This window comes from Homo sapiens, chromosome 2 (assembly GCF_000001405.40).
Source record: "Homo sapiens chromosome 2, GRCh38.p14 Primary Assembly".
NCBI lineage: Eukaryota > Metazoa > Chordata > Mammalia > Primates > Hominidae > Homo > Homo sapiens.
Genome location: NC_000002.12, coordinates 236,018,731 through 236,031,725, shown reverse-complemented (window position 1 = coordinate 236,031,725; position 12,995 = coordinate 236,018,731). Strand labels below are relative to the sequence as shown.

General features: G+C 48.0%; 1 protein-coding gene across 4 annotated transcripts in view, besides 2 other annotated features; it reads right to left on the bottom strand.

Annotated features, from left to right (window-relative positions):
- The window catches only part of AGAP1 (ArfGAP with GTPase domain, ankyrin repeat and PH domain 1), a 637,751-nt gene that overhangs the window by 100,068 nt on the left and 524,688 nt on the right, over positions 1-12,995 (bottom strand). The window lies entirely within an intron of this gene.
- Positions 3,686-4,185: an enhancer, noted in NCBI's record as "H3K4me1 hESC enhancer chr2:236936185-236936684 (GRCh37/hg19 assembly coordinates)". NCBI's record gives its function as "activates a minimal SCP1, AML or CMV promoter by ChIP-STARR-seq in naive H9 embryonic stem cells {active_cell/tissue: H9 hESC(naive)}" and the evidence as "EXISTENCE:reporter gene assay evidence [ECO:0000049][PMID:30033119]".
- Positions 5,246-5,746: an enhancer, noted in NCBI's record as "H3K4me1 hESC enhancer chr2:236934624-236935124 (GRCh37/hg19 assembly coordinates)". NCBI's record gives its function as "activates a minimal SCP1, AML or CMV promoter by ChIP-STARR-seq in naive H9 embryonic stem cells {active_cell/tissue: H9 hESC(naive)}" and the evidence as "EXISTENCE:reporter gene assay evidence [ECO:0000049][PMID:30033119]".

Below are 12,995 nucleotides of genomic sequence, written 5' to 3'. Positions count from 1 at the left end.
AAATGATGGAGACCCTGCAAGTGGAAGATTCTGTCCCCCTCACAACTATCCAGAGATGGGGCTTGTGGGTTCTGCTCCCTGGGGGTTTCAGGCCCTTGAATGTGGCCCTTTCAGAGGAGACTGGTGGGAATTCAGCGTCTCACACATGATTGGGAGGGCCCTTGCAACTCTGAGATCCTATGGGAGTGATGCAAGATAGCTGAGAACTATCTTGCATTTGTGTTCTCAATGAAGGCAGCTTTGAGCAGCTGCAGAGAATCCTGTGTTGAGATCTCCAAGGCTGGCTCCAGGCTCCTGGAGAAGGATCTGCGATCAGCTAGCAATGTCTACCCCAGGGCAAGGAGGGGTGCCCGTGGCGTGCCTGCCATCTTCTCACTGTGCAACTATAGTTCTCTTTCGAGCTTTCTGATCACTGCTTCTCTTTCTCCTCCCTGGTTCCTCTGCATGTGGCCTTTAGTGAAGGCAAACTTCAAGTTTAGTTAATGTTCCTCCTTCCTCCTCCCTCCTTCTTAGGGGTTCCTTTCCTTCCGAAGCTTAGAGAGTCACTTCCTACAGACATGTACAGTTCTCATACATATATCTCCAATTCATATATCTAATCAGTTTTGGATTTTAAAATGCCTGTGGATGTTTCTCAAAAACTTTGTCCTCATATCAAATTTAACATGCATCACATAGATTTGCTAGCATTTTCAAATGCTCCTCTTGGGGTTCTGTATTTCTGTTAATGATTACAATGCTATTCTAATCATAAAATCTCAAAATCACCTGGATTCCTCCCTCTCCCTCTTCCCACTTTCATCTCATCAGTCACAGCCCTGCTTAGCAATATCTGCCAATCTGTACCCTTCCACTTCCTTCTACTTTCAGCCCTTGCCTGACTGTGAAATTGGTTCTGGCCCACCTTTAACACTTCGCTGAGTTTACTGTGTAAGAAGTTTGTGCTGTCGCTCTCCTCTCCAACACTTAAGCATTTCTCCCTTGTTCCTGGGGCCTGGCTTCCCCTCCAAGCTGACTGCATCACAACACAGCAGTCCACAGTGAGGCATGATCTCAAGAGGACCCTCCTTCTCCTTCCCCAAATCAAATACACGAGGTGAAACTAGAATTGTGAGCCTAAAGTGCTAAAAACCTGCAAAAGTGAAGGCTACCCTGAGGGGCAAACACCTTTGGTAGCACAACAGATAAGGTCCTAAGATAGGAAACATAAACCCAGGGTCCAGCACCTGGCAATCCTGCAAGGAAAGGAGCCGGGAGGCCCCAGGTCTCAGAGCTCCCTTGGCTTCTGGTATCTTCTCTACAGGAAAGCTTCCCATGGACGGAGACCAACTACATCTGAACTCAAAACCAGAGATCACCCAACACACTGCAAACAAGACAGCAGATTTAGATCCAAAGTATTACTGATACAGGCTGGGCATGGTGGCTCACGCCTGTAATCCCAGCACTTTGGGAGGCTGAGGCTGGTGGGTCACCTAAGGTGTCAGGAGTTCAAGACCAGCCTGGTCAACATGGTGAGACCCCGTCTCTAGAGACAGATTGCTCTTAAACAAATATCAAGACGATCACAGACTTCTTAAGAGTAACAGTGAGAGTCGCCAGATAGTGGAATGATATCCTCAAGAGAAAATAACAGTGTAGACTTGAGATTCAGATAAACTCTCTCTCAAGAACAAGAGTGAAACACAGGCCAGGTGCAAGGGATCATGTCTGCCAACTCAGCACTTTGGGATGTGAGGTGGCAGAATCACTTGAGCCCAGGAGTTCAAGACTGGTCTGGGCAACACAGTGAGACCTCATCTCTACAAAAAATTTGAAAATTAGCCAGGCATGGTGGCTTGCACCTGTAGTCCCAGCTACTTGGGAGGCTGAGGTGGGAGGCTCACTTGAGCCTGGGAGATGGAGGCTGCAGTGAGCTGTGACCACACCAATGTACTCTAGCCTGGGTGAAAGAGTGAGACCCTATGAAAGAAAAAACAGAAAAGAGCAGAGAAGAAAAGAAAGGAAGAGAAAAGAAAGGGAAAGAGAAAAGAAAAAGAAAAAGAAGGAAAGAACAAAATATATTTTTCTGCAAAAACACCCAAAAGTGCTTATTACCAATAGACGTCCACTAGGGAAATTACTAAATGATATACTTCAGGGCCAGGCACAGTGGCTCACACCTGTGATCCCAACACTTTGGGAGGCCGAGGCAGGTGGATCATCTGAGGTCAGGAGTTCAAGACCTGCCTGGCCAACATGGCAAAACCCCATCTCTACTAAAATACCGAAAAAAAAAAAAAAATGGCTGGGTGTGGTGGCACGCACCTGTAATACCAGCTACTCAGGAGGCTGAGGCAGGAGAATCACTTGAACCTGGGAGGCGGAGGTTGCAGTGAGCCGAGATCACGCCACTGCACTCCAGCCTGGGTGACAAGGAAAGACTTCATCTCAAAAAAAAAAAGAAAAAAGGATGTATTTCAGGAAGATCCTAGAAGGCAGGTTTGTGAAAGACAGGTTGGTGAGCAAATGAACTGATAAATATGTAAACAAAAAAAAAAAACTAAATAAAAACAATACCGACTATGACTGCTAATGACAATGTCTACCATGGGAAAGGTCAAAATGCTGGAGAACGTGAGAGTAGCGGTGAGGACATGGGAGTTACGATGTCATAGGGCCTTGTACTGCTCTACTGGGAGAGGTAAGGACTCACTTCACATGTTGGTAAGTAAATTAAGTCCATGTGGTAAACCTCTGCAAGAAAATAAGTAGAATGTCCAATTTCTCAACCAGAAGAAAGAAAAAAAATCAATAAGAGAAAGAAGCATGATTAAAACTCCTTAGCCAACGAGGAATAGAAGAGGACTCCATTACCTTGGACAGAGATAATCTATCCCTAAACCCCACAATGTCACTAATCCTAAGGGTGAGATGTCAGAAACATACCTTTGAACACTCAGTTACAGGATGCTCAAGACAAGGACACCCACTGTAACTGCTTTTTTCCATCCCTGCTACCCAGTGTATTAAGTCAAAAATAAGGGAATGAAAGACCGAGAGATTGGAAAGGAAGATAAAGACATTCACATGGTATATGACTGTCTTCATAGAAAACCCCAAATCACCTACAAATTATTAAAAATCATAACAGCAGTTGGCAAATGGGCAAGATATAAGATGAATACAAAAATATTAATTGCAAAATGTACACTAGCAAACAAAAATCGTATTTAAGCATGCCTTCACAAATAATAGACATATATTTCTATCTCTGAGGTAGCAAAGTAGAGATACAAAGACTTGTGAATGAGCTAAATACTTCCCTAAAAGTAAGAACATAAAGGACCACTTGGTATCCGCAGCCACTCAGAAGAGGTGGCAAAGAGAAGGCTTTACACTTTGCCTGGAGGTGACGGATTAACCAGAGCCTGAGGGTGGCCTGCTCAGGTTCAGGTCTCCTCTCCCGGAGAATGAAACCCAGGCTAATTGGCTAATTACCATGAAACACCAACAAGGCCCAACAGAGTAAAGAGGAAACAGATGCAAGACACCCTGTGACCCAGGCTGATGGGCACCAGCTTCAGGTAAAGGCATGGATTGGGAAGGTCAGCCCCATGACAGACCCTGCTGACCGTGGAAAGCACAGCTAAGCTTCACATCCTAAGGACCAACTGCAACCCCAGACTCACTTAAGATATTCTTTTCTTGAGGGGGAGTCCCGTGCAATAACTCTAAACCTGGAAAAGCACAGGACTATACAAATAATGAAGAAATAAAGACACGAATCGCAATCCCCGGGACCAACAGCTCTGTGATAGTGTGGTGGGCAGGAAGCTGTGCCATCTCTGTGATCCTTGGGTATGGTCTGTCTCTGACGTGTATGTAGCATGCACAAAGGCCCTGTGATCACAGGGCAGGTCTAAACGCCACGCTTTTCCCTGTGAGTAGCAGTTCACCATGTAGTGAGACGCCGATGAACAGCTCTTTGGGGTTTCTGTTCTGTTTTGACCAGATGGTTCATCCTAGCCCTGGAGAAGCACAAGATGGCCCCCTCTGTCTCGTCAATGCGGGGTCCAGCATCAGCTCCCAAATCAAGAGGCAATGGCGCTGCTGACCCTGGGCTGGCCTCTCCCAGGCAGGCTGTGCTGATGGGGACCAGGGCTGAACTGTGATGCAAACATCTGGGACACCTGGAGGGGAGAGGCTCAGTCTGCCCTGGGGGAGGCAGGGCAGAGGCGGGAGATGGAACCCTACATGCTCAGCGCAGAGGTGGGCACCGGCGGGAGGACTACCCTGTGTCTTCTTTTGGATTTTCAGGCCCTGAAATTTACGACAAGGGTCCGAGCAGCTGGACCTTGCTTCCTGAGGAAGGATTAACATCTGAGCACAGAGCCTAATTAAGGCCACTCTACACCAACACTGCCGAGTGGAATCCAGCTATGCTAGGCCCATGTGTTTCCCAGGATCCTGTCTTTAGGTGGCTTCATTTTTTATTTTGAGGGAGGGTAATAGGTGAATACCCACACGTAGAGTTTCAGATCTAATTTATATCTGCCATATGACTTTTCTCTGCCTCCCAAGATTAAAAAAAATAAGTACAAGGATTATAGAGCAACTGCATAGTCATGTTACAACTTCCAGGAAGAAATCTGTTTATCCATAACAAATCTACTGCATGGAGTAATAAACATAGAAAATAATACCACTGGGCTCCAAATTCTGTCAGGCACAACGCCAGGACTTTACAGCCATTTTTGCTTGTAATCATTTTCCTCTCTTAAAGTGGCAGTACTCTTCCTCCATTTCCTAAAAACAAATTAACATTTAAAAAAAGGAGCTCTCCTTGGGAATCAAAGACGGCATAGGGGCTGGAAGGGTCTCCTAGTGGCTTTCCGTTATCTTCTCCTATTCCTCATGCCAAGAGAACAAGATGGTTGGGCCTTTTGAAACTAGCTTCCCCAGAAATCCCTCAACAGTTTGTCTTACTGTCCTTCTTTTAATTTTTATTTTTTTCTGAGATGGAGTCTCGCTCTGTTGCCCAGGCTGGAGTGCAATGGCATGATCTCAGCTCACTGCAACCTCCCCCTCCCAGGTTCAAGTGATTCTCCTGCCTCAGCCTCCAGAGTAGCTGGGATTGCAGGCGCCTGCCACCACGCCCAGCTAATTTTTGTATTTTTAGTAGAGCTGAGGTTTCGCCATGTTGGCCAGGCTGGTCTCGAACTTCTGGCCTCAGGTGATGTGCCTGCCTCAGCCTCCCAAAGTGCGGGGATTACAGGCATGAGCAACCGTGCCCGGCGTGTCATACTTCTTTCTAACTGATGTCCAGTCACACAATCAGGTCAGTCTGGTAAATGCTGGGGGACATGGTACACAGAGGTGGTGGTCCTCTGGGCCTTCCACGTGCCACCTGCCGGGTGTCTGGCTCCCTGGCCAGCACAGGGAGCAGGGATGGCCCCATCTATGTTGGCCAACTGGAGCACGTGATGTCCCTGGCCACTCTGATCAGTCCTGGTGGGGGCACATGATCAAGTGTCTTCCAGGGTTTCACATCTGAGTTGTGTCCATAGAGTGCCTTCCCCTCTTATCTGGGACCTGTCAGGACATGGCCCACAGGTGCAGGTGCAGGTGCCTCTGCCCTCTCCATGGGAAGGAAAACTTCTGTTATCAGGCCACTCCCTGTGGACAGGTATGAATGCTGCTGCCCAGCAGAGTGAAGCCAGGGATGGGAGGTGGCAGGGAGCCTGGTGCCTCTGAGGTCCCTGAAGCTCCTGCCTGTCCTACAGTTCGTTACATAAGACATCCATCCATCCATCCATCCATCCATCCATCCATCCACCCACCCGAGAAGGAGTCTCCCTCTGTCGCTCAGGCTGGAGTGCAGTGGCACCATCTCAGCTCACTGCAACCTCTGCCTCCGGGGTTCAAGTGATTCTCCTGCCTCAGCCTCCTGAGTAGCTGGGATTACAGGTGTGAGCCACCACGCCCAGCGTCTCCTTTTTTTAAAACTGGATTTCTGGTGTTACTAAACCTAGTTCTGACTAATCCAGTAGAGAAGATCTATCCTGGTGGTGATCTCCTATGTGCTGCTCTGGTGACTTTATTAGGTCAACACCTAGCAAATCTCAAGATTTAATCCGTGTTTAATCCGTGTTTACACTTCGGTGGCATTGCAGTGACCATTTACGCTCATTATGTAAACAGTGAATAGATTTTTGGACCCAATTTCCCTTCTTCTGTGTGGAGAGAACAGGAACATGCTCCTCCTAAGGTTCAAAGAAGAATTTTTAGCAGATGATAGAGCCTTATTCAAATCACCGATGGCCCCGAAGGGCTGCAGCACATTACGAAGTGACACGGTGATGACATTTTACTTATGAGCAACTAGATTAAAAATGATCAAAACAGTAATTGGCAGCGTGAGGCCCATCAGTCAGAGACAGAGCCGAGCATTACTCTCCACTGCCACCCTCACTTCAAACGTGCAGAACGAGCATGTGCCTGTGAGGATGCCCTGTTCGGAGCTTTCACTTTTAGTGGTGTCATTTCACTAATACAAACTACCTATTTGTGACAATTGCAGTGGCTTCTATTTCATTCACTGTAAAAACAGATTTCAGGTTGTAGAAGCTCCTGATGGTATATCTATTAAAAGCATGTTGAAGTTTCAGATACACACACAGACAGCAAAATTAATCCCCCTGTTCCTGAAAAATCAAGATGCCACCACACCCCAAAGCCTGAAGTAACAGACGGTGTACTGTTTCCCAGTGTGACATTCCAGGGCTTAGCTGTTTAATAAAGTTTTGTGATTGGGCTCACAGGGATTTAAACAGTTTTCTGTGTTTAACAGTTAGCTGTGGAAAGGTCCACTATAATAGTATTTTAGCACCATGAACCTGTCGAAATCAACCTGCCCAATTATTCCAAACGACATTAATAACACCGGATATTACACTAATTGTGTCCAGTTTCTATGCAGACAAGGCCCCATGGGGCTAATTTTGCCTCCTTAGGGGCAAGAAACTCAGCCATCAGACTGATTTCACAAGGAATCCCTCCTCATTACATGAATCCGGGCTGTCAAACTTTTTTTTTCTTAAAGGTTAATGGGCCAATCCGTCATCAATTATTTTTTTGCGGAATTCTAGCAGACAAAGGGTTAAAGGGCTAAAAGCAGCTGAAAACCGTTTCACATTTGGAAGTTGCTTTCAACAGGAGGCATCTGACAAGGATGCATGGGGGAGAAGTGGGTGCGAGGGGAGGGAAGGAGGGAGGCACAGAGGCACACACAGGTCTCAGGGAAAGGGTCTGGGGAAAAGGACAACTGCACTGTGCTCTTGCAAAGGCCAAGAGGACCTGGATCTGTGCCCCGAGCTACGATGAGAAATGGCTCAAAGCTGTTGATGGGGCCGGGCGCAGTGGCTAATGCCTATAATCCTAACACTTTGGGAGGCCAAGGTGGGTGGATTGCCTGAGCTCAAGAGTTTGAGACCAGCCTGGGCAACATGGTGAAACCCCATCTCTACTAAAATATAAATTAAAAAAATTAGCTGGGCGTGGTGGTGTGTGCCTGTAGTCCCAGCTACTTGGGAGGCTGAGGCAGGAGAACTGCTTGAACCCGGGAGGCGGAGGTTGTAGTGAGCCAAGATCACACCACTGCACTCCAGCCTGGGTGACAAAGTGAGACTGTCTCCAAAAAAAAAAAAAAACAAAAAAAAAAAACAACCAACCACAAACTACTGATGGGTGCAGGTGCAATGCCGAGATGTTTCTCTTCTGAATAGAAAAGGGCTCAAGGAGGATGCAGAAGTCACTTACTCCAAGTTCTTCAATGACCGGATGAGAATCTGGGTCCTGGGGAGAGAGGAGGTTCTCCCAGGGTGCCCTATAGCCTGAAATCCAGGCTCCTGAGGCCCATCCAGTGTTCTGTCCACAAGGCTAAGCATCCTTTGTGACACATTTAATGAGCAACCTGTGATGAAAATGAAATGGGATATCGCAACGGTGCAGAGATGACATGCTCAGCCTGGGGGACGGGCATGTTTGCTGTACAAAGAGTGCAGGATCTACCAAGCCCAGAGGCCTCCAGACAGCACCACCGAAAAGACGGGACAATACAACAGCCAAGGCCTGGGCAGAAAATAACCATCTTCTCCACTCCTGACCTTGGTGAAAGAGTTGGGACTTCTGTTTTAGGACACACCACAAAGCCGTGGTGAACACATTACCACCGATGCTTACCTTCCGCCAAGCCCTTTTTCTTTTTCCCCTATTAACAAGTGAGTTTTCGCTATGGGTTCTCCCAGTTTCTGTCTGAACTGGAGCTCCAACTTTGGGGTTCTCTCTCCTGGAACCTACTTCCCATCCTGCCATCGACGGACTGGTGCCCATGAGCAGCCCACTTCATCTTTCTGATCTCAGCTTTATCTGCAAGGGAGGTGCCAGGCTGGACCCGGGATGACAAAGGGAAGCTCTCTCTCCTTTTCTTTTAAAAACAGACATTCCTAACTGTTCCTGAAGAGGCTGGTGCAGCCCCAGAATTCCTCTTCACACAGTTCTCCAGGTAGCCACTGTCAATGCAACGGGGTCGGAAACTCAGACGGAATATACTCGCTACCTTGTGGTCTTTCTCCCTCTACCATGACCCTAAGAGGCAATGTGTGGCAATGTCACGCACACACCCGGGCTTTAATGCTATTTTTCCTCATACACTTTGTAAAATCCTCCAATATTTCTGTTTTAAAACCATCTATTAAATAGGCGTGTGGCTTAGATATTTTACCCAATTATGACAAAAAGCTCACACACTAAGATGTCAGCCAAAACACAGTATTAGAAAGTCAGTTTTTATTTTCAAATTTTCTCCCATTTTTGTAGGAAAAGACTGATGTGAAAGAAAGCCTGCTGACCGGGTGCGGTAGCTCAAGCCTGTAATCCTAACAGTTTCAGAGGCCTGGGGTGGGGGCGGATCCCTTGAGGTGAGGAGTTCGGGAGCAGCCTGCGCAACATGGCAAAATTCCATCTCTACCAAAAATACAAAAAGCAGTTGGGCGTGGTGGCGGGTGCCTATAATCCCAGCTACTCAGGAGGCCGAGGCATGAAAATCACTTGAACCCTGGAGGTGGAGGCTGCAGTGAGCGGAGACTGTGCCACTGCACTCCAGCCTGGGCAACAGAGTGAGACTCTCTGTCCAAAAATAAAAGACAAAGACTGTAGGCAAGCCTGGAGAATATGGACCAGGGTTGTACAGAACCAAGAAACCTATGGATATACTTAGTATACTTGAGAAGTTATTAATTTTAAACAAAAACAAAAGATCATTATAAACACACGCAGTTCACGGTTCTCAGCTAATTATTTTTGGAAACTCTGAATTTGGTCAACATCTTTGTCTAGCCAAGAGAGTCCAACAGAGGTGTTGTCCTGTGGCTTAATTTAGAACAGTGTGATTAATTCTGTGAAGAAGCAAATCCCCACAGGTCAATTACGAGCTTAGGAATGTTTAACTACTAAATATTACCACGGGAAGGTTCTCATGACATACAAAGGACATTTTTATTTTTCAAACACATTATAAAGAGCTGGGATAGCAGTTCAAGGACCACGTGTAAAGAAACTCCATTTGAAAGCTTTGGCTTCCAGAGCTGTAGGGTGCCATATGTGCCTTTTTTTTTTTTTTTTTTTTTTTTGAGACAGGGTCTCTGTCGCCCAGACTGGAGTGCAGTGGCTTCATCTCGGCTCACTGCAACCTCCACCTCCTGGGCTCAAGCGCTTCTCCCACCTCAGCCTCCCGAGTAGCTGGGACTACAGGCATGCGCCACCACACCTGGCTAATTTTTGTATTTTTTGTAGAGAAGGGGTTTCACCATATTGCCCAGGCTGGTCTCGAACTCCTTAACTCACGCAACCTGCCCACCTCAGCCTCCCAAAGTGATGGGATTAGAGGTGTGAGTCACCATGTCTGGCCCGTGCCTGTCTTAAATTAAGAAAAGACTCCAAAACAAAGCTCTTGGGGAAAAAAAAATAGTTATCTGACCGCAAATTGAAAACATCTTGCGATACAGCAGGGGTGAGTGTTGCTATCTCCCTTGTACTTTCTCTGTCCCAGATACCCTGTGAAAGCTCCAGGCCCAAACATTCAGTTTAGAAAGACAAAGCAACGATAGGCACGTGCGGTGATTTATCTTGTTACTAAGCGGTAACTGTTTGTTACTCATCCTGACACACTCCCCACTTTGCAGAGGTCCCCTCGGACTCCTAATTATAGGAATAAGTGAGCACGGCCATGTTGGGCAGGCCTAGGGCGGGTTCCTCTGCAAGAGTCCAGCATGGCCATCAGGAGACCCGGGCTTACCAGGAATCTTCAGCGGCACCCTCCACTGTCCACGGTGAGGGCTTCCTCTCCTAGGTGCTGCTCAGCGCTGAGGTGATTGATACCCAAGACTGTCATCCTTTCAAAAGGAGGGGGCTAGAAAAATGAGCAATCTTCTCTTCCCAAAACGTCAATTCTAGTTATTCCCCATGCAAGGGTTTCCTAAATCTGAAGTTATCTGTATTAGTTTTTTTTTTTTTTTTTTTGAGACAGAATCTTGCTCTGTCGCCCAGGTTGGAGTGTAGTGGCACGATCTTGGCTCACTGCAACCTCTGCCTCCCTGGTTCAAGAGATTCTTGTGTGTCAGCCTCTGAAGTAGCTGGGATTACAGGCACGCACCACCATGCCCAGCTAATTTTTGTATTTTTAGTAGAGATGGGGTTTCACCACGTTGACCAGGCTGGTCTCGAATGTCTGACCTCAAGTGATCCACCCACCTTGACCTCCCAAAGTGCTGGGATTATAGGTGTGAGCCACTGTGCCCGGCCTACCTGCATTAGTTCTTAGTTGGTGCTGCTCATCACTGAGGAGGGGTGGCTTTGGCCAGCTCTGCTCTGTACCGATACATTAAAAAGGCCTACTGAATAGTCCACAGATATTCTCCATGGAGTCTTTGGGTCATTTTTCTATTAAATAAGTCTGTATAGCAATTTAATAGCAGCCACGGCGGCCAGCTTCCCTATGTGCCCAGCTCTGTGGGAAGCACTTCACAGGCTTCACTTCATTTCTTCTTCAATTACCCTTCAAGGTAGGTTTTATTGTCTGCATGCGAGGAAGAAAAGAACAGAGAGGAAGGACAGACCCAGGAAAGCATCCCAAGCCACACAGCTGGGAAGTGGCAGAGAGGGGATGAGACCCAGGCGTGTGTGACTCCACAGCTCACGCTTTTAGCCAAATTTCTACAACTGACGATTCTTCTCAGATGACAGCAAATGGAAGCAGGAGGGTAGGTTTAAAAGTCTAGATAACAGGTTAAGTTTCATTTCTAAATTCCCCCCTATGCTTCATGGGCAACACGTCTTTTCAAATCTCTGTTCCTGGCTACATAAACAACGTTCAAACACTGCAATTTTCTTTGAAAACAGAGAGAATCTGGGTGCTTGAGTACTGGGGCTTACTGGTCCTAGGCAAGGAGCAATGCAGGGGCCATGTTCCACATCTCTAGGTATGTTAGCTTGCTGACTCCTCCCCACAACCCTGTGCAGTGGGTGTCATCACCCCAGTTTATAGGTGGGGAAACTGAGGTACAGAGAAGACACATCAAGAACCCAAGGTTAGAGCTATGAAGTGGGGATGTGGGACTGAACCAAGACCACCTGAGTTAAGATCTGGGCTTGAGTCTGGCGCCCATGCCTGCCTCATACAAACAAGAGCAGTGATTCAGTGTGAAAGAGAACCCATCTGAGCCTGGAGAATGCTCACTGCAGAGAGCAGGTTCTGGAAGGCAGCCTCTCACAGTGGGGACCCACACGGGGCACTGGGGAGACTGCCGGGGCATTTGGCGGGGGCCTTGATCAGACACTGCAGTGAGTCCTTCAGGAAACACACAACACAATGGGTCACAGATTGTCAGGCAGGGCTGCCTTCTTCCTCTGCTGGAGATGATGATGACAGCTGTCTGCAGATCTGTGGATCATCTAGTCCCCTCCACTGGTACTGGTCCCAAAAGAATCCTCGGCACACACCTCACACTCAAGCCTAAGGGCGCTGCAGGCTCTGTACTAAGCCCCGTCCAGGTGCAGGCTGCTGCCTCCACCTGGAATTCCAGCCCCGTCTTCCTGAGAGCTCCTGGGGCTGATGCCTGCCCTTCTCCCAGGCTCGGTTTCTTCTTTTATAAAACAAGGAGGAAAAGATCTCCCTCTGCTAGGGGTGCACGACAGGATGTTGGAAATTTCTCAGCACTGAGGATGCGGTCACTGTGGTTCCTGTCACATCCCGCAGGCCATGATACCTGTCCTGACCCCTAAATCAAATGTAGTTCTGCTCTCCACAAAGCCCCCAGAGCATCCAGGGCCTCTTCCCTCCTTCTGCATGAGATCCTTTGTGCAGCCTCCTAGACTGACAGTAAGCTCCCTGAGGGCAGTGGGCGGGTGCACCCTTACCCTCTCCATTGCCCCAGCACCCAGCGCAGGCAATGGCGCATCCCAGCAGGGACCTGAGAGTCGGGAACAAGGAGGCAGGCCTACCTCACACTCAGCAAGACCATCATTCTCAGATGTGGGCCTGTAATTTGTTTAACTGTGAATGAGTTGGAAGTCTCAGAACTGTGACCAAGAAAACGAGTGTTGGAGGGAATGGCCAACAAGTTAGGCCTGCTCACATCTGCTCAGAGGAACAGTGACCATCTGGGCTGTTCAGTGGAGAAGGCAGGTGCGGGTCTGACTGCAGGCCTGAGGCGCGAAGCTGTATCTGTGATGAAATTTCCAAGAGGAGGTTTGCTGTTTCCCCATGGCAATGCCTATGCTTGGAATCGCAGTGTCGGGGAGACTGGGTTCCAGCGATCTGGCCCACTGTGGTGAACGGAAGTACCCAAAGCAGAGGTTTCCCAGGCCTGTTGCTGGGGCGAGCTCTAAATCCACAGAAACGGGCCCTCATAGACGGGCTCGAATTGGGACTTTAGGCCAGTACTGAATCTGGCTAA